Source organism: Homo sapiens, chromosome 19 (assembly GCF_000001405.40).
Source record: "Homo sapiens chromosome 19, GRCh38.p14 Primary Assembly".
NCBI classification, from domain to species: domain Eukaryota; kingdom Metazoa; phylum Chordata; class Mammalia; order Primates; family Hominidae; genus Homo; species Homo sapiens.
This window is the reverse complement of record NC_000019.10, coordinates 13,572,777-13,598,739: the sequence shown is the minus strand read 5'-3', so window position 1 is coordinate 13,598,739 and position 25,963 is coordinate 13,572,777. Positions and strand designations below refer to the sequence as shown.

Sequence of the window (25,963 nt, the reverse complement as noted above, 5' to 3'; positions counted from 1 at the left end):
CTCAGGCCGGCCCCTACGCATCCTTTTCCACACAGTGGGGGAGCTACTGGGTTTTTTCTTTCCTTCCTCCCTCCTTCCCTCCCTCCCTCCCTCCCTCCCTTCCTTCCTTCCCTCCCTCCCTCCCTCCCTTCCTTCCTTCCTCTTTCTTTCCCTCCCTCTCTCCTTTCCCTCTTTTCTTTCATTTCCTTTTAAGACAGTGTCTCTCTTCTCTCTCTCCTCCTTCCTTCCTTTTTTCCTTCTTTCCTTTCTTCCTTCCTTCCTTTCCTTCCTTCCTTCCTTTTTGACAGGGTCTCTCCTTCCTTCCTTTTCTTTTTTCCTTCCTTCCTTCTTTTCTTTTTTCCTTCCTTCCTTCCTCTCTCTTTCTTTCTTTCTTTTTATTTCTTTCTCTTTTCTTTCTTTCCTTTTGAGACAGGGTCCCTTCCCTTCCCTTCCCTCTCTTCTTTTCTCTTTCCCTTTCCCCTTCCCCTTTACTTTCCTTTTCCTCAAAAGTTTTTTTTTTTTTTTGGCAAAGGCACAGGCCTAGGGTGGATTCCTGAGCAGACATCAGGAGTGTGGGATGAGAATATAAATATTATTTTGATTGGAGCTGAGGCTGATATGGATACTAATCAATTTAGGGGACCCCAAAATTTACTCTCTTACCCTCTTGATGCTCCCGACCTGACCCTGTGGGAAGCACCCTTCACCAGACACCCACCCTGGCCCCATTTTTCCATTTGCAGGAGAGGAAGTGGGGTTATAAATGCCATTTGAGTTGGGAGGGTGCTGGTGAGGGAGTGTGTAAATACAGGGTGCAATGCAAACTGTTTTATTAAAATGAGCCTTTGCTCATTTTGAATCAAAGAACTTCAGGATGGGGCCAGGGTGGTGCAAGCTTGGCCCCGAGGTGGTTTCCTGAGGTTAGTCTGACATCTACTGGCGTGTTTGAGCATCATTTAGGAAGGCATGTTGTGACTTCCCCACCACCTGCCACAAAACTGGGTTCCTCTTAACCTCCCCTCCATCCACTCATCTGTCCACTCACCCACCCACCACCCACCCATTTAAACTTCTAATTGTGCATGCATCCATCCATCCATCCGTCCATCACCCATCCATCTTTCTACCCATCAATCCATTCATCCACCTCCCTGTTCTTTCTCCCATCCATCCATTTTCCAGCCATCCAACCAACTTCCCATTCACCCACCTGTCCACACATCTATCCATCCACCCAACCCACCCACCCACTCACCCATTCTTCCATTCACCCATTCATCCATCCATTCTTCCATCCATTCTTCCATTCATTCTTCCGTCCATCCACCCACCTATCATCTTATATACCAATCTGTCCATCCACCCATCCATCATTCCATAAATAACCAGGAAAAGCACCTATTCCCTTTAACGTCTGCCTTGGTTTCTAGAACCCATAAAAGTTTCTTTAATTTATTTTCATTTTTACAAATTTTAATTAATTAATTAATTTTGGAGGCAGGGTCTTGCTCTGTCACCCAGGCTGGAGTGCAGTGGCCCTATCACGGCTCACTGCAACCTCTGCCTCCTGGGTTCAAACGATCCTCCCACCTCAGCCTTGCAAGTAGCTGGGACTACAGGTGCATGACACCATGCCCAGCTAATTAAAAACAATTTTTTTTGGTAAAGATGGGATCTTGCTATGTTGCTCAGGTTGGTCTCGAACTCGTGGGCTCAAGCGACCCTCTTGCCTTGGCCTCCCAAATTGCTGGGATTACAGGCATGAGTCACCATGCCTGGCCCAAAGCGTCCTTATAGCCATGATCTCCAAACTTCTGAACTCCTACCCCAGCCAGCAAAACAATTTTTGAGCACACTCATAGCTGAAATGCGTAGCCACGGCCCATGCATTTTTAGTTATATATAATTTATAAAAATATTTTGCTAAATGTGTTATATGCACTGTAAAATACACATAAAAATAAAAACGTGAAAAGGATGAGACATCAACAAGATATATATATTTCCAAATGGCTTAATAGTTTGATTTAATAGTACAACACGCTTCTACCCTTATGTTTTAGAAGTTTGCCTTCGCTTTTTGAATACCGTGCTCTGTGAGAGCTTTTTATTCTGAAGATGTTCCAATACACTAAAAGTAGGAAAAAGAGGTCAGTGAGACTTTCGTATCCATTAAAATTTAATAATTATCAGGATTGTGCCAGACTCACATCATAAATCCATATCCTCTTTCTGAGATGTTTAAAAGTAAATCCCTGACCTTATGTGATTTTTGCAAACTTCAGACTACATCTCTAAAGCACACAGACACATCTTAATCACATCACACTGACAATATTAATCATGATTTTTATATCTAATTTCTGGTCCACATTCAGATTTCCTTGCTCATCTTTTTACAGTTGAGTTTTTTGAATCAAGAAGGCTTGTGTGTTGCATTTCATCGTTTCTCTCTCTTTTTATTGTGGTAAAATACACACAACGTAAAATTGACCATTTTAACCATTTTTAAGCATACAGTTCAGTGGCATTAAGTAGATTCGCATTGTTGTGCAACCGTCACCACCATCCATCTCCAGAACGTTTTGTTTGTTTTGAGACAGAGTCTCGCTCTGTCTTCCAGGCTGGAGTGCAGTGGCATGATCTTGGCTCACTGCAACCTCCATCTCACGGATTCAAGGGATTCTCCTGCCTCAGCCTCCCGAGTAGCTGGGATTATAGGCGCCTGCTACCACGCCCAGCTAATTTTTGTATTTTTAGTAGAGATGGGATTTGGCCATGTTGGACAGGCTGGTATCGAACTCCTGACCTCAAGTGGTCAGCCCCGCTCAGCTCCCAAAGTGCCAAGATTACAGGCATGAGCCACCATGCCCGGCTGATCTCCAGAACTTTTTCATCACTCCAAACTGAAACTCTGTCTCCATGAAACACTCACTCCCCAGCCCCTGGCACCCATCATTCCACTTTCTGTCTCATGAATCTGATGACTCTGGGGACCTCATATAAGTAGAAACATACAGCATTTGTCCTCTTGTGTCTAGCTTATTTCACTAAGCATAATGTCCTCCAGGTTTATCCATGTTGTAGCATGTGTCAGAATTTTCTTAGTTTTTAAAGCTGAATAATATTCCATTGTATGAATAGACCACATTTTGTCCGTCCATCTATCCATCCATCCATCCATCCATCCATCCATCCATCCATCCATCCACCCATCTATCCATCTATCCATCCATCCATCCATCCGTCCATCCATCCATCCATCCATCCACCCATCCATCCACCCACCCACATATCCATCCACCCACCCACATATCCATCCACCCACTCACCCATCCATCCACCCATCCACCCATCCATCCACCCATCCACCCATCCATCCATCCAGCCATCCACCCACATATCCATCCACCTACTCACCCATCCATCCATCCATCCATCCATCCATCCATCCATCCATCCACCCGTCCACCCATCCATCCACCCACCCATCCATCCATCCATCCACCCACCCATCCATCCATCCACCAACTCACCCATCCATCCACCCACCCATCCATCCATCCATCCATCCATCCATCCATCCATCCATCCATCCATCCATGAACACTTGGGTTGCTTCTATTTTCGGGCTATTGAGAATAATGCTACTATGAACATAGGTGTACAAATAACTCTTGGAGACCCTGCTTTCCATTCTTGGAGATATATTCCTAGAAGCAGGGTTGCTGGATCATATGATAATTCTATATTTAATTTTCTGGTAGTCATGTCTTCTATGTCTTACTTAGTCTACAGCAGTCTCTTTCTGATCCCCTATTTTCTACCCTATTGACTCTGAGAATAAACCAGATAAATCATCCTGTAGAATGTCTCCTATTATTATTATTGTTATTGTTATTATTATTTAGAGACAGGATCTTCCTCTGTTACCCAGGCTGGAGTCCAGTGGGGGCAATCATAGCTCAGCGAAGCCTTGAACCCCTGGGCTCATGTGATCCTCCCTTCTTAGCCTCCCCAGTAGCTAGGACTACAGGAGTGTACCACCACACCTGGCTAATTTTTTATTTTTGTAGAGACAAGTTCTCACTATGTTGCCCAGGCTGGTCTCAAACTCCTGGCCTCAAGTGATCCTCCTGTCTCAGCCTCCCAAATCACTGGGATTATACATGTAAGCTACTGCATCTCCTAAGCATCTTCCATTCTTCATTGCTGTTTGGAAGCTTTATTTTTATAACTGTGGTGGTTTTGTCCACCAGTAGGAACCCCACCCAGGCACGGTACATGCCACAGTGAGGCTTACGTGATTTCACCTCACCGATTGTCTTCATGAGAATTCTGAATGTTTTCTGGCCACCTTCTGATAGCGATTGAATTAGATCACCACCGTGATTACTTCTCATGACTGACAGACTTTGGTCTCTTTGCTCATTTCTGCTTCTGTTACTATCTTCTTCAATCCTCTTTCTCTCTCTCTCTCTTTTTTTTTTTTTTTTTTTTGAGACAGAGTCTTGCTTTGTCACCCAGACTGGAGTACAGTGGCGTGATCTCAGCTTACTGCAACCTCTGCCTCCCGGGTTCAAGTGATCCTTCTGCCTCAGCCTCCCAAGTAGCTGAGATTACAGGCACCTGCCACCACGCCCAGCTAATTTTGTATTTTTAGCAGAGACGGGGTTTCACCATGTTGGCTAGGCTGGTCTTGAACTCCTGGCCTCAAGTGATCCGCCCACCTTGGCCTCCCAATGTGTTGGGATTACAGGTGTGAGCCACTGCGTCCGGTCTCAATATTTGCTTTCTAGGCAGGAATCTTTTAAAGCCACGTGTCCACTTTATCAGCCAACATCCCAGTCCATCAATCACTCATGCAGGTCTAAGCAGACTGCAATACATTGCCATTCACTGGAATTGTTATTTATCTCATTTCTAGTGGTCTGTCTTGCCCACTGGAGTATCCCCAATCAGGTTGCTTGTCTGTCCTGTTCACAGCTGTATCCCCAGAGACTGAGGCCAGCACCCAGTAGGTGCTCATAAAATATCTCTTGAGTAAAAGCATTGACTGACAGTGAATGAGAGCCAGTGCCAGCCAGTCAAGTGGATTTGGGTCAACCATCAGTTAAGGACTAATAAAACTCAATACTTTTCTTATTTTTATTTTTGAGACAGAGTCACGTTCTGTCACTCAGGCTGGAGTGCAATGGCTCGATCATGGCTCACTGCAGCCTCAACCTCCTGGGCTCAAGCAATCCTCCTGCCTCAGCCTCCCAAAATCTTGGGATTACAGGTGTGAGCCACCGCGCCTGGCCTATGGGGTCTTGTTAAATGCAGATTCTGTTTCAACAGGTCTAGGCTAAGACTTGGGATTTTGCATTTCTTTCTAACAGGCTGCCAGGTGAGGCTGACGCTGCCTGGGTGTAAGCAGCGAGCTGCTGAACCGTCATCTTCATCAGAGAATAGAGAGAACATTAGTGTGAATGGGGAGCAGAGAGAGGAGAGTTAAGGGAACTACCATGAGTATCATTAATAATACTTCTTAGGCCATAATAATAATAATAACCATGTTTTTTGTTTGTTTGTTTTTGTTTTTGTTTTGAGACGGAGTCTCGCTCTGTCACCTAGGCTGGAGTGTAGTGGCGCGATCTCGGCTCGCTGCAAGCTCTGCCTCCCAGGTTCACGCCATTCTCTTGCTTCAGCCTCCCTAGTAGCTGGGACTACAGGCGCCCACCACCATGCCCGGCTAATTTTTTTGGTATTTTTAGTAGAGACGGGGTTTCACTGTGTTAGCCAGGATGGTCTCGATCTCCTGACCTCGTGATCCACCCGCCTTGGCCTCCCAAAGTGCTGGGATTACAGGCGCGTAATTCCACAGGCGCCCAGCCCAACCAGGTGTTTTTTTTTTTTTTTTTTTTTTGAGATGGGGGTCTCACTATGTTGCCCAGGCTGATCTCAAACTCCCGGGCTCAAGCGATCCTTCCACTTCAGCCTCTGGACTATCTGGGATTATAGGCATGAGCCACTGTGCCCGGCAATAACCAGTATTGACTGGGCATGGCGGTTCACGCCTGTAATCCAAGCACTTTGGGAGGCCAAGGCAGGTGGATCGCTTGAGGTCAAGAGTTAGAGACTAGCCTGGCCAACATGGTGAAACCCCGTCTCTACTAAAAATACAAAAAAATCAGCCGGGTGTGGTGGTGCGTGCCTGTAGTCCCAGCTACTCCGGAGGGTGAGGCAGGAGAATCGCCTGAACCCAGGAGGGGAGGTTGCCGTGGGCCGAGATCACACCACTGTACTCCAGCGTGGGCGACAAAGTGAGACTCTGTCTCAAAAACCAAACAAAAACCCAGTGTTGATGGAGCACTTACTATCTGTGGGGCACGGCTCCAAGACCTTTACATGCATTGACTCGATTAGTCCTCATCACCATTGTTATAAATAGATTGTGGTGCAGGTTATTGTTTTCCAAAGTGTTTCGTTGCAGCACATCTTATCAAATGCACGCAACGATCTCCTGAAACAGCTAGGGCAGCTCTTGTTGCTATTGTTATTGTGGTTACTTAGTATCTTATTATGATTACTTTTTTTTTTTTTTTTTTTTGAGACAGAGTCTCACTCTGTCATCCAGGCTGGAGTGCAGTGGCGCGATCTCGGCTCAGTGCAACCTCGACCTCCCAGGTTCAAGCAATTCTCCTGCCTCAGCCTCCCAAATAGCTGGGATGACAGTCATGCACCACCACGCCTAGCTAATTTTTTTTTGTATTTTTAGTAGAGACGGGGTTTCACCCTGTTGGCTAGGCTGGTCTCGAACTCCTGACCTCAGGTGATCCACCCACCTCAGCCTCCCAAAGTGCTGGGATTATGGGAGTGAGCCACCACGCCCGGCCATGATTACTTGTTATGACCGGTAGTACCCTTATTATTTTGTCCCTTATGCAGATGGGTGAACAGACCCGGAGAGGTGAATTCCAGGTTACTGAGGCATTTGAGAGCCAAGCCAAGAGAGAGATGGTGTGACCTTGAATTCCAGGCCAGAACTGACCACTTATAGGATATGGGGACCCAGGCTCAGCCAAACTGCAGGTCACCAGCTAGGACTGGGTGACTTTCCCAGCTAGGGATCGGATGGGTGGCCTGAATTGTCCTGGTCCCCGAGGCCTGAGCTGAGAGAATGAGACACACAAAGTGAGACTTTTATTTTATTTTTAGAGACAGGGTCTCACTCTGTCACCCAGGCTGGAGTGCAGTGGTGCAATGATGGCTGATTGCAGCCTTGACCTCCTGGGCTCAAGTGATCCTCCCACCTCGGTCACCTGAGCAGCCAGGACCGTAGGTGCGTGTCACCACTCCTGGAAAATTTTTAAATTTTTTTGTAGAGGCAGGGTCTTGCTATGTTGCCCAGGCTGGTCTCAAACTCCTGGCCTCAAGTGATCCTCCTGCCTCGGCCTCCCAAAGCATTGAGATCATAGGTGTTAGCAACCATGCTCAGCCCCCCAGAGAGATCATATTTTAACACAAGTCAGATTATATCCCTCCTCTGCTCAGAACCCTCCATGGCTCCCACCTGACTCATAGCAAAAGCCAAAGTCCTCACCAAGACCCATAAGGCCCTGCCCCTGTCACCTCCCTGCCCTCACCTCCCTCCTCTCTCTCCCTCGTGCACTGTGCTGCAGCCATACTAACCTTATCACTGTTCCTCCAATGCACCAGGGTGGTCCAGCCTCAGGGCCTTTGCACTGGCTGTTCCTTCTGCTAGGAATGCTCTTCTCCTCGGCACCCACACGGCTTCTTCCTTGCCTCCTTCCAGCCTTTGATTAAAGGTTTCCTCCTCATCAAACTTTTCATCATCACCCTATTTAAAATGCAGCCCCGGCTGGGTGCAGTGTCTCATGCCTATAATCCTAGCACTTTGGGAGGCCAAGGCGGGAGGATCACTTGAGGCCAAGAGTTTGAGACCAGCCTGGGCAACATAGTGAGGCATCTCCACAAAAAACAAAAAAATATTAGCCAGGCATGGTGGTGTGCGCCTGTGGTCCCAGCTACTTGGGAGGCTGAGGTGGGAGGATCCTTTGATCCTGGGAGGTCAAGGCTGCAGTGAGCCATGATCGTGCCACCGCACTCCAGCCTGGGCAACAGAGTGAGACCCTGTCTCATAAATAAATAAATAAATAAATAAGATAAAAATAAAATAAAATGCAGCCCTACTCGTGCTTATTCCCTGCCCCGCTTAATTTTCCCCACTAGCACTCATAACCAGATCCTATGTGTTACATATGGGGCTTCCTCCCTCGTTGACTGTACTGGGACCTGTAGTCCTAGCTACTCAGGAGGCCAAGGCAGGAGGATCCTGTGAGCCCAGGAGTTTGAGACCATCCTGGACAGCATGGCAAGATTCCATCTTTACAAAAATTAGCTGGGCATGGTGATGCGTACCTGTAGTCCCAGCTACTCAGGAGGCTGAGGTGGGAGGACTGCTTGAGCCTGGGAGTTGAAGGTTGCAATGAGCTATGATTGCACCACTGCACTCCAGCCTGGGCAACAGAGAGAGATCCTATCTCTAAATAAATAAATAGAATTGAAAAAAAATAAAATGCAACCCCTACTTATGTTGGTTCCCTGCCCCGCTTAATTTTCCCCACTAGCACTCACGACCAGCTCATATGTGTTACGCATCGGCTTTCTCCCTTGTTGCTGCCATATTTGCTCTGTGAGCTCCACGTGGGCCGGTCTGGTGTCACCCAGGCTGGTGTGCAGGGGCGAGATCTCGGCTCACTGCAACCTCAGCCTCCCGGGTTCAAGCGATTCTCCTGCCTCAGCCTCCGGAGTAGCTGGGACTACAGGTGCGCGCCACCACGCCCAGCTAATTTTTGTATTTTTTAGTAGAGACGGGGTTTCATTTACCATGTTGGCCAGGTTGGTCTCGAACTCCTGACCTCAGGTTATCCACCTACCTTGGCCTCCCAAAATGCTGGGATTACAGGCGTGAGCTACCACGCCCGACCCGTTCATTAATTTTTGTTGTCGTATAATAAAAAGAAGGATAATTCTTGATAGGTGAAAGTTGTATGCCGTTCAAAATTTGGTGTCCATAAAGTTTTATTGGAACACAGCCTTTTCTATTTGTGCTGATGTTGTCTGTGGCTCCTTTTGTGTTACAACGGCAGAGCTGTCTCTGGGACAGAGACTGTCTAGCCCTCAGAGCCGGAAGCATTTCATCTGAGGTCCTTTATCGAAGAGGTTTTTGGACCCCTGAGCTGGAACAGCGCCTGACACACACTGTGCTCAAAAAGCAGCCTGCGCGGGTCTCCCCTGCGTTCACCCACTGTCGCCCGCCGCTGCTAAGACTGGCCACCAGGTGGCGCCATGGCTCCCCAGCCTGGCAGGCGCCGGGCAGCAGAGCGCTCAGCTCGCTCTCCGGAGTACCCACCTCCCTGCCGCTTCCTTTCTGCCTGTTCCGAGAAATGGAAGTCAGCCCCAAATCAATAATTGAATTCCCATCATGTGATAACTAATCATTACATATATGGCTATTGCTTTTTCATGCACAAAGGGCTTGGTAAAGACCAACTGGGGCGGCAGGGGCGGACTCGGGGCTTTGCAGGGCTCCCTGAGGTCTGATGGGTTACAAGCAGGTCCTGAGGTCAAGTGTGGGGCTTACCTGGCTTCAATCTGGGGTGTGGTTGAGTGCCCCGGCCAGGGTTCAAATCCCAACTCTGCCACTTGCTGACTGATTCTGGGGAGGAGGGTTCCTTTCCCTTTCGGTGCCTCAGTTTCCCTCTCTGTCAAATGGGGAAAACAATAGCACCCATCTCTGGGGCTCTTACAAAGATTAAGTTCACTGCATTATTACATAGAAAGCATTTAGAACAGTGCAGCCACATAGTAAGTACTTGGTAATAGTTTTCTGTTTCTGTAGCGGGTATGCCATTAAGCATTTTGAGGCCTCAGTTTACACAGTTAAAAAAAAAAAAAAGAGGCTGGGCACGGTGGCTCACGCCTGTAATCCCAGCACTTTGGGAGGCTGAGGTGGGAGGATCGATTGAGCCCCGGAATTCAAGGTCAGCCTGTGCAACATAGGGAGACCTCGTCTCTACGAAAAATGCTCACGTAATTAAAAAAAAAAAAAAAATTAGCCAGGTGTAGTGGTGCCCAACTGTAGTCCCAGCTACTCGGGAGGGTGAGATGGGAGGATTGCTTGAGCCCAGGAGTTCAAGGCTGCAGTGAGTGATGATCACACCACTGCACTCCAGCCTGGGTGACAGAGTGAGACCCTGTCTTGGAAAAAAAAAAAAAAAAAGAAAGAAAAGCAGGTTGTTTTGTTTAGACATCACAATTAAACTGCAACCTAACCTTTAAAAAAGAACCTACTTAGAAATCAGAGCTCTCTTTCTCTTCTTCTTCTTTTTATTTACTTATTTTTTTGAGCAGGAGTCTTGCTCTGTTGTCCAGGCTGGAGTGCAGTGGCATGATCTCAGCTCACTGCAACCTCCGCCTCCCAGGTTCAAGTGATTCTCACCTCAGCCTCCCAAGTAGCTAGGATTACAGGGACCCACTGTGATTAGCTGCCATGCCTGGCTAATTTTTGTATTTTTAGTAGAGATGAGGCTTTAGCATGTTGGCCAGGCTTGTCTCAAACTCATGACCTCAAATCATCCACCTGCCTCGGCCTCCCGAAGTGCTGGGATTATAGGCGTGAGCCACTGCGCCCGGCCTCTTTCTTTCTTTTCTTAAGGGAGGCAGGCTGGCCAATTCTAGCCTAGTTGATATTTAAAAAAAATAGGTCTGGTCCCAGGGAGCTTCTTTTTCAGTGCAGCTGGCTGACTTTTGGTGCAGAGAGACCCTTCTTTTGTTCTTTGAATTAGCAGCTTTGGCAGCCATGGAAGGTCTGGGTAGGGCCCCCCAGAGATGGGGCTCCCCTATCTCTTTTGGTCTATCAGATTCTCCATGCTGGTCCTTGAAACCCAAGCAGCTTATGAACAAATATCCCCCACCACCCCCACTGCCAAATTATCCTCTCTGTTCAATGTGACTTTTCCATCTAGAATTTATCTGTACCTTGGGTTTCCAATCCTGGGAACAACTATGCCTTATTTATTTATTTATTTATTTATTTATTTATTTATTTATTTTTGATACAGAGTCTCACTCTGTCACCCAGGCTGGAGTACGGTGGCGCGATCTCAGCTCACTGCAACCTCCGCTTCCCAGGTTCAAGCGATTCTCCTGCCTCAGCCTCCCGAGTAGCTGGGATTACAGGTGCACACCACCACGCCCAGCTAATTTTTGTATTTTTAGTAGAGACTGGATTTCACCATGTTGGCCAGGCTGGTCTCAAACTCCTGACCTCAGGTGATCCACCCACCTCGGCCTCCCAAAGTGCTGGGGTTACAAGTGTGAGCCACTGCGTCCGGCCTCCTGTCTTCGTTTTCTTCTTCTTTTTTTGAGACAGAGTTTTGCTCTTGTTGCCCAGGCTATAGGGCAATGTTGTGATCTTGGCTCACCACAACCTCTGTCTCCCAGGTTCAAGCAATTCTCCTGCCTCAAGCTCCTGAGTAGATGGGATTACAGGCATGCACCACCACGCCTGGCTAATTTTGTATTTTTAGTAGAGACGGGGTTTCTCCATGTTGGTCAGGCTGGTCTTGAACTCCCGACCTCAGGTGATCCGCCTGCCTCAGCCTCCCAAAGTGCTGGGATTACAGACCTGAGCCACCACGCCTGGCCCTCTTTTCTTCTTGTGGGGTCTGCATACTTCTGCTTGCCTACCGCTGATCCCTGTCTTTCCTCCTCTTCCACTTCCTCCTCTTCTTCTACCTCTTTCTCTTCCTCTTCTTCTTTGACAGGGTCTCACTCTGTCACCCACGCAGGAGTGCAGTGGTACAATCATAGCTCACTGTACTCTTAAACTCTCAGGTTCAAGCAGTCCTCCCAACTCAGTCTCCCAAGTAACTAAGATTACAGACATGTGGCACCACACCTGGCTATTATATTTTACTTTATTTTTTGTAGAGATTGAATCTTGCTATGTTGCCCAGGCTGATCTCAAACTCCTAAGCTCAAGTGATGCCTCTCCTTCAGCTTTTAGAGTCCCTGGAATTACAGGCACGAGCCACTGTGCCCAAACTGATCCTTGTCTTTTATTCTGTCACCGTCACTCCAAAATTCTATCTTTTCAACACCTCAGGGTTATTTTTGTTGTTGTTGTTGTTGAGATAGAGTCTCACTCAGTCACCTAAGCTGGAGTGCAGTGGGGCGATCTTGGCTCACTGCAACCTCTGCCTCCCAGGTTCAAGTGATTCTCCTGCCTCGGCCTCCCAGGTAGCTGGGATCACAGGCACACGTCATCACGCCTGGTTAATTTTTATATTTTTGGTAGAGACGAGGTTTCACCATGTTGGCCAGGCTGGTCTCGAACTCCTGACCTCAAATGGTCCACCTGCCTTGGCCTCTCAAAGTGCTGGGATTACAGGCGTGAGCCACCGCGCCCGGCCTTCAGGGTTCTTTTGATGGCGTCTGTCCACACTCCAGGCTCCCTTAACTGCTTGAACCTTGGTGCAGGGCTCTGCCCATGACTCTCTGCCCATGATTCCATCATTATTGCCCTCACTTTGGTTGAGTCCCGGTGGCTTTCCTTCTGTCCCCTGCATTTTCAAGGCCTTTGCACTTGCTGTTCCTCCTGCCTGGAATGTTCTTCCCATGGCTGGCTCCTTCACACACTGTGGTCTCAGCACAAATGTCACCTTCTCCTGTAGAGCCCCTCTCCTGGGGCGACTGTTCATTTTGCAGAGCCATTCTGCTCATTATATAAAATTACGTGTTTCTTTCTAAATTGGATTGTCAGTTCCACAAGGGCAGGTTTGTCTGTTTGTTTCTGGTCTGTCTTTTCTGCTACCGTGTCTCTAGTGCTTAGAAAAGTGCCTAGAGTATAATAGATACCAATGTTTGTTGAGTGAATAACTGATGGACCCCTGTGAACTTGAACATCTATGTGGATCACCTCTTCGTGGCTCTGGCTTTGAGACCTGAAAGCCTCTTAGAGCAAGTGAACCCTATTTTCTTTTCCATTCTCTGCCCAGGGGATCTTCTGGTTCCACATTTATGCACTGTACTCAAGGGGGCCTGCCTGGAGGAGGAGGCAGACATGCAAACAGCAGCTGTACAATGTCTATGAGCTACACAGAGACCAGTTCCCATTTATTCCACACCCGCCATGGGCCCAGCCCTAGGCCAAGGGGCTTTGGGTATGAGCTCATGGGTTACTAACCCCAGTACCCATTTTACAGAGGAGGCAACCGAGGCACAGAGGGGTTAAATAATGAAGCCAATAAGTTAGAACCAGCTTTGGAACCCAGGTCTGTCAGAATCCAGAGCCCATGTTCTTAACTCCTGCCTTTTCAAGGTCTTGAACTTGGAAATGCCTGGCATAGAGTCGAATGAACGAATGAATGAAAGGACGACTGAATGAATGAAAGGGAGAATGAATGAAATTGTGATCATTAACCTTTTCCCTGCCCTTCAAGTCCTAAACTCTACAAAGGCAAGTCCCTTTTCTTATTTGACCCTTGAAGCTATGGGAGTGCTCTGCACAGAGCTTTGCAGGTAGAAAGCACGTGATGTCTGTCAAACTTGGTTGTGTGAAGTCTCAAACAAACTTAGGATGAAATCTATACAATCCTGAAGGCCAGCATGGCACATACAACCCATTCTCTAAGTCCTGGCCACTAGAACCAGCTTGAAAGAGACCGAACTGGGATTAAAATAAAATAAGACCTCACCTTCTGATATTTCCAAATTCTCACAGTCCTTTCACCTCCTCTGTCTCTTGCAACCATGAAAACGACATTTGGGAGGGCAGGTCTTGTAATGCTCAGATCACAATTGAAGAAATGAAGGCCAAGTCCACATAGAGATGAGTGCTGGGTCAAAATCTAATGGTGACAATGAACTTAAAAAACAATCCCATTATCCCCAGCATTTTGGGAGGCCGAGGAGGGCAGATCATCTGAGGTCAGGAGTTTGAGACCAGCCTGGCCAATTTGGTGAAAACTTGTCTCTACTAAAAAATACAAAAAAACAAAAACAAACAAACAAAAAACAAACACGCAAACAAAAAAACAGAAAACAAACAACAAAAATTAGCCAGGCGTGGTGGTGGCACACATCTGTAGTCCCAGCTACTCGAGAGGCTGAGGTAGGAGAATTGCTTGAACCCAGAAGGCAGAGGTTGCAGTGAGCCAAGGTCACACCACTGCACTCCAGCCTGGGTGACAGAGCGAGACTCCTCAAAAAACACCAAAAAGCAAAAAACAAAGAGCTACAATAACAAAACCCCAATCCCACTATCTCTCTGAAATGCCACGTTGCAAATCAAATGTATTCCTTTGCCATCCAAGAAGGCCATTCTTGCCTGGTGAAATTCCTCTGGAGGGCCCCACATATGTTGCAAAAGACAGATCTGGGGACAAAAGGAGCCACCTTGAAAATCCCAGCTCATCCTGTTAGAGCTGGGCGACCCTGGGCAACTGCCACAGCCTCTCTGAGCACTGAAGGAAGATAACAACAGTTCCTAGTGCAGAAAGTCTGGGAGAGAGCACTGACAAGGCCAGGTTCAAATAACAGTGTCTTGAAGGATAAGTCACTTTCTTTTTTTTTCCTTCTGTGGTCTGGGCACCGCCTGGTCAATATTTATGTGTAGTGCCTCCATCTGTATGCTAGGTCAAGGGCTTCTGAATAAGGAGACTGTGGAGCTTATTGGCTCTGGAGCTAGTCTGGCTGGATTCACACCCTGGTTCTAACTATTTGCTGTGTGACCTTGGACAAGTGACTTCACCTCTCTGAGCCTCTGTTTCCTTGCCTGCAAAATGCAGGAAAAAAATAGCAGTCACTTCATAGGGTCATTACAAGAATTAAGCATTTGAAAAATGCTTAGGACAGTGCATCTCACATTATAAGCAGGAATGGCCAGTTAAATAATAATAATAATAATAATTATTATTATTATTTTGAAAGGAGTCTCACTCTATTGCCCAGGCTGGAGTGCAGCGATGCGATCCTGGCTCACTGCAGCCTCCACTCCTGGGTTCAAGCCATTCTCCTGCCTCAGCCTCCAGAGTAGCTAGGATTACAGGCATCCACCACTATGTCTGGCTAATTTTTGTATTTTTAGTAGAGACAGGGTTTCACCATATTGGCCAGGTTGGTCTCAAACTCCTGACCTCAAGCAATCTGCCTACCTTTGGCCCCCCAAAGTGCTGAGATTACAGGCATGAGCCACTGCACCTGGTTAGGCCTGTTAAATTAAGTGAAATGAACAAATTCCCACCCATACTCCGAGGTGTGACCTCCAAAAGGGCATGGACTTTATCTTATTGGTTATGTTTCACCAGAGCCTAGCATATAGCAGGTGGTTAGTAAAGGCTGGGTGAAAGCAAGATATGAGGTTGGAATGTGTTTGTGGCTGAGAGATGAAAATCTGACCTCTAAATCTAGGATTTGCAGACTTCTGTAAAGAACCAGATAGTGGGCTGTATCTGGCCTGCAGGACGTTGACTGCTAACTTCTGCTATAAATCACAGTGAGAGGTTAATGGGAACTAAGAGAGGATGTTTCAGATGGTCCTTTCTGGAGAGATGGTGATATCAAACGCCCTTAAGTCTCAAATAGGAAGGCCTATTTATTTTTCTTATTAACATTTATGAAGCACGTTATCCTGTCCACATGCCAATCAGTGCCATAGGCACTCATACTCTCTTTTTTATTTTTAGGACAATCTTGGAAAATCATATCTTTAATTACTCCTCCCTCCTTTTAATTTAATTTTTATTTTTTTATTTGTGCAAATATATAGGATATATGTGCAAATTCCTTCTTCTTCTCTTTTTTTCTTTAAATAGATAGGGGGCCGGGCGTGGTGGCTCACACCTGTAATCCCAGCACTTTGGGAGGCCGAGGCAGGTGGATAACTTGAGGTCAGGAGTTTGAGACCAGACCAGCCAACATGGTGAAACCCCATCTCTACTAAAAACAACAAAAAAATTAGCTGGGCATGGTGGTGCACACCTGTAATCCCAGCTACTCGGGAGGCTACAGCAGGAGAATCCCTTGAACCCAGGAGGCAGAGGTTGCAGTGAGTCAAGACTGCACCACTGCACTCCAGCCTGGGCAACAGAGCGAGACTCTGTCTCAAAAAAAAAAAAAACCAAATAAATAAAGAGACAGGGTCTCGCTCTGTTGCCCAGGCTGGAGTGCAGTGGTGCAATCATAGCTCACTGCAGCCTTGAACTCCTGGGCTCGGGTGATCCTCCTGCCTCAGCCTTCTGAGTAGCTGAGACTACAGGTGGACACCACCACACTAGCTAATTAAATTTTTTTTTGTGGAGACAGGGGTCTTTCTATGTTGTCCAGGCTGGCCTCAAACTCCTGGCCTTTAGCAATCCTCCTGCCTCAGCCTCCTAAGTAGCTGGGATTATAGGAATGAGCCACAGTGTCTGGCTCACCTCTTCCCTTTTTTAAATTAGGAAACTAGGGCCCAGAATGGTTAAAAAAAACTTTCTCAAATTCATACAAGTTTAACTGGGTCCATTTTCTTTGTTTCTTTGTTTCTTTTTTTTTTGAGACAGATTCTCACTGTATCCCCCAGGCTGAAGTGTAGTGGTGCACTTCTCGGCTCACTGCAACCTCTGGGTTCAAGTGATTCCCATGCCTCAGCCTCCTGAGTAGCTGGGATTACAGGCACCTGCCCACCACACCTGGCTAATTTTTTAATTTTTATTTTTTAGTAGAGGTGCGGTTTCACCATGTTGGCCAGGCTGGTCTCAAACTCCTGACTTCAGGTGATCTGCCTGCCTCGGCATCCCAAAGTGCTGAGATTACAGGTGTGAGCCACTGCACCTGGCCGAACTGGGTCCATTTTCAAAGCTCTGGCTTCTTATGTCTGGACCAGAGAACAGCTGAGGCCTTGTCTCAAAGCTGCCATTTAAATGTTCACGGCTGAGTGCACAGGCCCTAGAAGCAAGCTTCGGAACACAGGGCAGCACCCAAGGCACAATATGTAAGGCTTTTCAGTAGACACGCATGACTACAATCCATCACAAAGTGGCACGGAGTCCGTGCATTGGTCCTGCGGGTGGGCCTGCGGGAACATTCTGGAACTCTTCAGTGCTTGCCTTAGAATGAGGATGTCCCCATTTAAAAAGGTTCGCTTGGCGGGGCACGGTGGCTCACGCCTGTAATCCCAACACTTTGGGAGGCCAAGGTGGCAGGATCACATGGTCAGGAGATTGAGACCATCCTGGCTAACACAGTGAAACCCTTTCTCTACTAAAAATACAAAAAATTGGCCGGGCGTGGTGGCGGGCACCTGTGATCCCAGCTACTCGGGAGGCTGAGGCAGGAGAATTGCTTGAACCTAGGAGGTGGAGATTGCAGTGAGCCGAGATCGTGCCATTGCACCCCAGCCTGGGCAACAGAGCGAGAAAAAAAAAAAAAAGAGGCTCCCTAAAGCAGGAGCAGGTGCAGCCCGTTGGAGAGCTCCTTGGGCTTCTCAATTGCAGAGGGTAGGACTCATTTTCACCCATTTTCTTTCCCCCTTTGGTGGGACCTCTCAGGCGTACCTTAAATGTTCCCTTGGTTGGCTCCCACAAGCACAGCCAATTTTCCAGAGTCTGGTTCAGTCTCCTGAGATCTGTGTCCAAAATCTCCAGCCCATGGCCAGGCACAGTGGCTCATGCCTGTAATCTCAGCACTTTGGGAGGCCGAGGTGGGAGGACTGCTTGAGGCCAGGAGTTTGAGACCAGCCTGGGCAACATAGTGAGACCCCCATCTGTACAGAAAAAAAGAAAAAAAAAATTAGCCAGGCGTGGTGGTGCGTGCCTGTGGTCCTAGCTACTCGGGAGGCTAAGGTGGGAAGGTGGGAGGATCGCTTGAGCCTGTGAGTTCAAGGCTGCAGTGAGCTGTGATCATAGCACTGCACTCCAGCCTGCGTGACAGAGTGAGATCCCCATCTCAAAACAAAAACAAAAAACAAAGTCTCCAGCCCCAGATTAGCCTGTGTGCTGGACTTGGAGACCCCAGCATGTTCATGGCACAGTGGAGTTTTGGAGGGTTTTCATTGACCTTGCGTCCATGTGGCATGGCGGTCTTGCAAGAGAAACAGGTAGTGGATCTTTCATTCTGCCAGCTCTCTGGTCCTTGAGCACACATCAGCCCCCCCCTTCGGGCTTGTGAAAACACAGATATTTCTGGGTTCACCTTGGGGTTGCTGATTCAGTAGGTCCCAGCAGAGCCTGAGACTCTGCATTTCTCCAAGCTCCTAGGTGATGCTGCTGCTGCTGGTTTGTGGACCGCATTTTAAGAAGCATGGCTTTACATCAGTGGTTCCCAACCTTGGCTGCACAATCATCTGGGCTGTTTTAAAAATCATGATGTCCAGGCCCTACTCCATTAAATCCAACTCTGGATGTAGGGTCCTGGCATTAGCACTTTTCAAGTTACCTGGTAGGCTGGGCATGGTAGCTCATGCCTGCAATCCCAGTGCTTTTGGGAGGCCTGGCTCCTGGCTTTAGGCCAGGAGTTTGAGACCAGCCTGGGCAATATAGCAAGATCCCATCTCTACGAAAAATTTTGTTTAAAATTTAGCCAGGCATGGTGGCATGCACCTGTAGTCCCAGCTACTCGGGAGGTTGAGGCAAGAGGATTGCTTGAGCCCAGGAGGTCAAGACTGCAGTGAATTATGATCATGCCACTGCCCTTCAGCCTGGGCAACAGAGCAAGACTCTGCTGCTATACAAATAAAATAAAAATAAAGTTCCCAGGCGATTCTAGCCAGTGTGCGAGTCATCACGTTCCACTTTACTTATGATACACTCAGCAGAGGCCCCCAGGTTTATACCAACTTGGAAATTTAAAATCCACTGGGGAATGAAAAAACATGATGGTGTCTAATCCATTTCTAAGCCAAGGCGGAATGATTGCAGTATGATTCACGGCTTGGATTCTTATTCTTTTGGCTTCAATAATCTCCTTTCTGTGTATTCAGGGCAGATATTCAGCTGAGACACATTGGCACAGCTGATTGTTAAAATATTAAAATATTTCCACACCAGTTAGTAAATAGCTGTTGCCTGGAGGCCCCTAGTGAGCTCCCCCACCCACCCAAGTCCCTTCCTGGGTCCTCCCATGCCTCCTGACAATCAGTGCTCTGGGGATAGTGCCTCCTACTGGTAGCTACATATTTTAACCTTCCCTGCAGTGTGTTTGATCTACTTACTCACGTCTTTATCTTTAGTTTTTGTGTCTGAGCACGTGAGTATCTCAAATAGATAAGAAGGTGGGTTTGCAAACTCAGGAGTGTGGTTCTGCTGTAATCTCAACATAATGCAGTCTCTCATTTAGCTGCGTTATGTTGATGGCTGGCAGGGCTGGACAGTCCATGAGGTTTCACTCACATGTTTGCACCAAACATGAGCTTTTTCAGTATATTCTTTCTCTCCATGTGGCTAGCTTGAGCTTCCTTATAGCATGGTGGCTTTGCATAATTGAACATTCAAAAGTCTGACTTTAAAGAAGGGGCGTGTCAAACTTGAAAGCAGAAGCTGCAAGGGAGGCTGCCAGGTTTGAAGGAGCTCAGATATCACCTTGGGAAGCTTGGGATTTATCCCATTTTCATTGACCAGGCTATTGGAGGTCTGTCCACCATTGGCTGGAGTGCAGTGGTGCAATCGTGTATGGCTCATTGCAGCTTGGAACTCCTGGGCTCAAGTAATCCTCCCACCTCAGCCTCCCAAGTAGCTGGGACTACAGGTGCACACCACTATGCCTGGCTAATTATTTTATTTTATTTTTTGAGCGACGGGGTCTCACTATGTTGCCAAGGCTGGTCTTGAACTCCTAGACTCAAGAGATCCTCCCACCTCAGCCTCCTGAGTAGCATCGGAGGTCTTTTGATGGGAGACCATGCACTTCAACACATCATAATGGTGTTTTACAAAGTAATTTCTGAAAAGAGTCCAGGTCAGTGGGAAGTACAGAGTCTGGAGAGAAAAATGCCAGCTCTTTCTACTCTTACGTGACCCTGTGTTTTATTTAACTTTCATGAGTTTTCAGTTGCATCATCTGTAAAACAGGATAAGAATCTGTACCATACACACTCTGCAGGGCTTTTATAAGGATCAAATAAGGTACTTTGAAATCCAGGGTTGCTAAACTCAATTGTCTACAGGGGCCAAGTGGGTAATGGTGACTGGGGCAGCTTCCATGTCAGGGAGACATTAGAGAGTGGTGAGGTCTTTGGCAAACTAGATAGCTCCAGGCTCATCTGAAGGATATAACCATTATTCAATAGAAGCTGATTGCTGTCATGCAGGAATGTAGGCTCAGCTCGGGTAAATCGTCTGAGTTTTTGAGAAAAAGCAAAAATTTCACTTTTATATGTAATCTCCTGACTTGTTCTGAACATATTTTTATCTTAAGATGTGGATAGATCAAGGAAGTAATTTGTGAGCTCTGAGTTTGTAACATCTGCTGTAAACCCTAAAACTCAGTGTAAATACTAGTTATTAATTTTGTCATAGATTTTTAAAACTGGGAGGGGAAGATGAGCAAGAGGGAGGTGTGGAGGGGGGCAATGCCAGTGAGTCAGGAGATAGCTGAACTAGGACAGCAGTGTTGGGAATAAAGGTGGGGAGAGGATCTAAGAAACACTTTAGAAGGAGAATCAATAGGATTCACTTGCTAATTGGCTGGCGTGAAGATTCTTAACATTTTCTGAGCCGTGGAGCTCTCTTCAGTTTGACAAAAGCCAAGGGATCTCTTCTCAGAATTGTGCTTTTTAAGTGCATAATATCAAATGCAGAGGAAATCAATTACATTGAACATTAGTTATAAAAATATTTGAAAGAACAGATTTGTCATACATCACTAATGTGTTTCTTTCATAATGCATAAATAACAAGAGCTAGTAACAGACCTAACAACTTCAAGGTAGTCATGAGAGTAAGTGAGTTTCAAGATATCTGCAATAATTACAATGTGACATAATAAAAATGTGGTTTCTGTTTTTTGGTTGGTTGTTTGTTTTGAGAGAGAGTCACTCTGTTGCCCAGGCTGGAGTGCAGTGATGAGATCACAGCTCACGGCAGCCTCTACCTCCCAGGTGCAGTGGTGAGATCACAGCTCATGGCAGCCTCTACCTCCCAGGTGCAAGTGATCCTCCAACCTCAGCCCCCTGAGTAGGTGGGTCTACAGGTGTGCACCACCATGCCCAGCTAATTTTTGTATTTTTTTGTAGAGATGGGGGTTTCACCACGTTCCCCAGGCCAGTCTCAAACTCCTGAGCTCAAGTGATCCACCTGCCTTGGCCTTCCAAAATGCTGGGATTACAGGCGTGAGCTACTGCCCCCAGCTGAGATGTGGTTTCTGTTGATGACAAAGTCACAGGTGTCATGAACACTGCTAATATTGCTGCAATTTGTTGCCTCCATGCATAATTACAGCTAGAGGCTGTAATGAATATGCGAATTTTCCCAACCAAATTTACAGGCTCCCTGAATTATAAACAAGTTAAGTACCACTTCATCTAGGAAGTGAAAGAACAGGTGAGTTCAAAGGGAAATCTGAGATTTCTAGTTTGGGGAGAGTCAAAGTGGAGTTGCCTAGGAGGCTATAAGAAATTGGGGAACAGAGCAGAAGAGACTAAAAGTGGGTAGAAATAGTGTTTGGGGAACTGTGAGAAATTGAACAGAGTGACTAAGCCTGTAGGCTCAGGAGCCACAGTGCCTGGCTTCAAATCCTGGCCCAACGTCTTACCAGCTTTGTAATCTTAGTGCATTTAACGGCACCCCACTTCTGATACCAAATCCAGATTTCATTGGCTTGTATACCAGTTACTGGACCAACATCTTGTGCCTCAGTTTTTTTCAACTATGAAATGGGGATGATAATTGCATCACCTACCTCTCAGAGAGATTGTTAGCATCAAATTAATTAATACATGCAAATTACTTAGAACAGTGCTTGGCACACAGTAAGTGCTACATAGACATAGTTATAGAAGGGATGGAAGTGGATGAGGTTCATTCATTAATCATTCAACAGAGATTCATCAAGCAGCTTTAAAAATGACTTTAATTGACAAACAACAATTGTATATATTCATGGGCTACAATGTGATATTTCAACCTATGTGTACATTATGGAAAGATTCAATCAAGCTAATTAACATACCCATCACCTCACCAACTTATCACTGAACACTTTGGAGGCAGAGAACAAATCAGACAAGGACTTTACACTCATGGAGTTTAAATTTTATAAGGGAAAACAGATAATATACTAGTAAATAGATAATACAATAATTTGAGGCAGTGAGATTGACAATAACACTGCGATGGGGTAAAACGTGACTGAAACAGGAGAACCTAAGAAAAGGTGGTTAGGGGTGGTTCATCTGGTGAACTGATATTTGAATTGAGTGCTTAATGAAGAGGATGAGCCAGCCATGCAAAGTTCTTGGGAAAGGAAGTTCCAAGCAGAGAGAACAGCAAGTGCAAAGGCCCTGAGGCAGGAATGTGCCTGGTGTGTTTTGAGTATCAGCAAGACAGCTGGTGTTGGTTGGGACAAGGTGAGTGAGGTGGGAGTGATGGGAAATGAAGTCAGAGGGGTTGATGTGGATCAGCTCCTGTGTTATCCATCAGGCATATATGGATGAATACATTATAGTCAGTGCCCTCAATGAATTCAAAATCATTGCCATAGACTGTCCCAATGAGGTAAATGCTTTAAGAGAGGTATAACTGATGGATTAGCAACAGCTTTCTTTCTCCTCCCCTCCCCTCCCCTCCCCTCCCCTTCCCTTCCCTTTTCTTTCTTGAGACAGAGTCTCATTCTGTTGCCCAGGCTGGAGAGCAGTGGTGCAAATTCAGCTCACTGCAGCCTCCACCTCCCGGGTTCAAGCGATTCTCCTGCCTCAGTCTCTCGAGTAGCTGGGATTATAGGTGTGCGCCACCATACCCAGCTAATTTTTGTGTTTTTGGTAGAGATGGGGGGGAGGGTCTCACCATGTTGGCCAGGCCTGGTCTCGAACTCATGACCTCAAGTGATCTGCCCACCTTGGCCTCCCAAAGTGCTGGGATCACAGGCGGGAGCCACCGTCGCCAGCCTAGCAATAGCTTTCTAAGGGACTCATGAGCTGAAACCAAAAGATAAGTAGGAAAACAATCAAGAATGGAGCAAGAAGCCTATGAGTTAGCCATTAGCATTATCCCCATTTAGCAGACGAGGAAACTCAGGCACGGAGGGACTAGGTAACTTGTCCTAGGTCATATGGGGTACAAGTGGCATTTGAACCCAGGCAGCTTGACTCTGGATCTTGTGCCCTGTAACCACCAACCTATTGTCCTCTTAAATTTTGCCAGTTGTAGTGGCTCAGCCTCCAGCATTTCACTTAATCTTTTTACAGAAAGCCGGTGAGATGGGGAATCACTGATATACCATTTATGGGATGCATTAAAAGCCACGTGTAAAGGCCCCCCGGCAGGTCAGTTGGAGAGCTGGGATTGAACCCAGGTTTGCCTGAGCTCAGCGTGCAGTTGTTCACATGCCACGCCAGGCGGCACCCTTGGTCCCTGCACCAACCCCAGCTCCTGAGAGGCGGCCGGCATGGAAATCAGAGTCATTATTGTGATCGTTGCAAAATATTTTAGTGAGTGGGTTTCAAACACTGTAAACAGGTTTAGTCCTCTTCTGCTCCTTTGCAAAGACGCAATTTACTCAGAGCAAAGGAATCTGAGCTAAATTTAACAAACTGAAGCTGGTGAGCGGCTCAAGGAGCCCTGGGGAGGAGCTACCTTGGCAGTGTCAGATAAGGTGGCCAAGAGCCTTCCTGGATGCTCTTCTCCTTCTCCCCGGCCAGTGGTCTCTGGGTATTCCAAGTGGGGCGAGGAGCAGAGATGCCATGCCAACCGAGGGCGAAGGACTGAATAGAAGGGGCTGCCCAGGGCTGGGAGCGGTGGTTCATGCCTGTAATCCCAGCACTTTGGGAGGCCAAGGCGGGAGGCTCGTTTGAGGTCAGGAGTTCGAGACCGGCCTGGGCGATTTGGTGAAACCCTGTCTCTACTAAAATACAAAAAATTAGCCAGGCGTGGTGGTGGGCACCTGTAATCCCAGCTACTCAGGAGGCTGAGGCACGAGAATCACTTGAACCTGGGAGGTAGAGGTTGCAGTGAGCCAAGACTGATCCTTCCAAGTAGCTGGAACTACAGATCAAGTCACGCACTCCAGCCTGGGTGACAGAGTGAGACTCCATCTGAGAGAGAGACAGAGAAAGAGAGAGAGAGAGAGAGAGAGAAGGGGCTTCCTATTCCTCTCTCATCTGTCTCTGTTTCTCTCTATCTGAATTCTGTTTTCCCTCGGTCTCTCTGTCTTTCTCTTTGGGTCTCTTTCTTTCTTTCTTTCTTTCTCTTTCTTTGGGTCTCTGTCTTTTTATTTCTGCCCCTTTCTCTCTCTCCCTTTGGATCTCTATCTCTGTCTTTGCATCACCCTCTCTCTCTTTTGTTCTCTCTTCCTCCAACAGCCTCCCTGCACCAGTGTGTGTGTGTGTGTGTGTGTGTGTCTGTGTGTGTGTGTGTGTGTTGCTCTTTCTCTGTCTCTGGATCTCTCTGTCTCTTTCTCTTATTTTCTCTGTCTCTCTCTGTCTCTGGGTCTCTCTGTCTGTCTCTCTTTGGGTCTCTCTCTGTATCTTTCTTTTTTCTTTTCTTTTTCTTTCTTTCTTTCTTTTTTTTTTTTTTTTTTTTTTTGAGACAGGGTCTTGCTTTGTCAGCCAGGCTGGAGTGCAGTGGCATGATCTCTGCTCACTGCAACCTCTGCCTCCCGGGTTCAAGCAATTCTCCTGCCTCAGCCTCCCGAGTAGCTGGGATTATAGGCATGCGCCACCACGCCTGGATAATTTTTGAATTTTTAGTAGAGACGGGGTTTCGTCATGTTGGCCAGGCTGGTCTCGAACTCCTGACCTCAAGTGATCTGCCCGCCTCGGCCTCCCAAAATGCAGGGATTACATGAGCCACTGCACCCAGCCATTCTCTCTCTGTATCTCTCCATATGGCTTTGGGTCTCTCTGTCTTTGTGTCTCTCTCTGTCTCTCTCTTTGGGTCTCTGTCTGTCCCCCTGTCTCTCTCTCCCTCCTGCCCCCGCCTTTCTCTCTCACACATGCTTTCTCTCATCGCCCCCTTTTGCCCACCCCCGTTCTTGCTGCTCCATCTGCATGACCAGAAGGCCACCCTGGCTGTGGGCTGGGCTCTGGGCCTGGAAGAGGAATTCCTGCACCCCCGGCATTGGGTCCTAGCTGCTAGTAGGCGCTTTCAGTGGACAGCAAGTGCGTTAGGTCAGATTTCCTGGAAGAGGAGCCCACGCTGGCGATTCTTGGGTAAGGAGCTTACAAAGGGGGTGTTCTCAGGAGAGACCTCTGAGGCAGTGCTTCTCTAAGTTGGCTGCACTTTATAATTGCCTGGGGAGATTTTTAAAAATCCGTGTGGCTGGGCCTCGTGCCTTACCAATTAAGTCAGGACCTCTGGGAGTGTTTCCAGTTTGAGAATCGGTGGTCTAAGGAGAATGAGAAAAGCAGCACAGGGCAGAGGAAGAAGCTGATCAAGGATGCGGTTCAGCCCAAGTTCAGCCTCCACCTGATCCTGGGGGAGGTTCCGGATGGTGAGGAGCTCATTGATTCACCTCAGGGTGATCTACCCACCAGGGTATATGAGCAAGGGGTCTGGGCTCTTTTTTTTTTTTTTTTTTTTTTTTTTGAGACAGAGTCTCTCTCTGTCGCCCAGGCTGGAATGCAATGGAGTGATTTTGGCTGACTGCAACCTCTGCCTCCCAGGTTCAAATGTTTCTCCTGCCTCAGCCTCCAGAGTAGCTGGAATAGCTGGAACTACAGGCATGCGCCACCACGCCCAGCCAATTTTTGTATTTTTAGTAGAGACGGGGTTTCACCATGCTGGCC

The 25,963-nt window shown here is 47.3% G+C and overlaps 4 annotated features.

Annotated features, from left to right (window-relative positions):
• Positions 751 to 1,045: an enhancer, noted in NCBI's record as "tiled region #13460; K562 Activating DNase matched - State 12:CtcfO". NCBI's record gives its function as "activates a minimal TATA promoter and a strong SV40 promoter by Sharpr-MPRA in K562 cells {active_cell/tissue: K562}" and the evidence as "EXISTENCE:reporter gene assay evidence [ECO:0000049][PMID:27701403]".
• Positions 9,167 to 9,396: a silencer, noted in NCBI's record as "fragment chr19:13700158-13700387 (GRCh37/hg19 assembly coordinates)". NCBI's record gives its function as "represses an EF-1alpha promoter that drives an FKBP-Casp9 reporter gene in an ReSE screen in K562 erythroleukemia cells {active_cell/tissue: K562}" and the evidence as "EXISTENCE:reporter gene assay evidence [ECO:0000049][PMID:32094911]".
• Positions 9,167 to 9,415: a biological region, named in NCBI's record as "ReSE screen-validated silencer GRCh37_chr19:13700158-13700387".
• Positions 9,306 to 9,415: a silencer, noted in NCBI's record as "silent region_10206". NCBI's record gives its function as "represses an Ori minimal core promoter by ATAC-STARR-seq in GM12878 lymphoblastoid cells {active_cell/tissue: GM12878}" and the evidence as "EXISTENCE:reporter gene assay evidence [ECO:0000049][PMID:35858748]".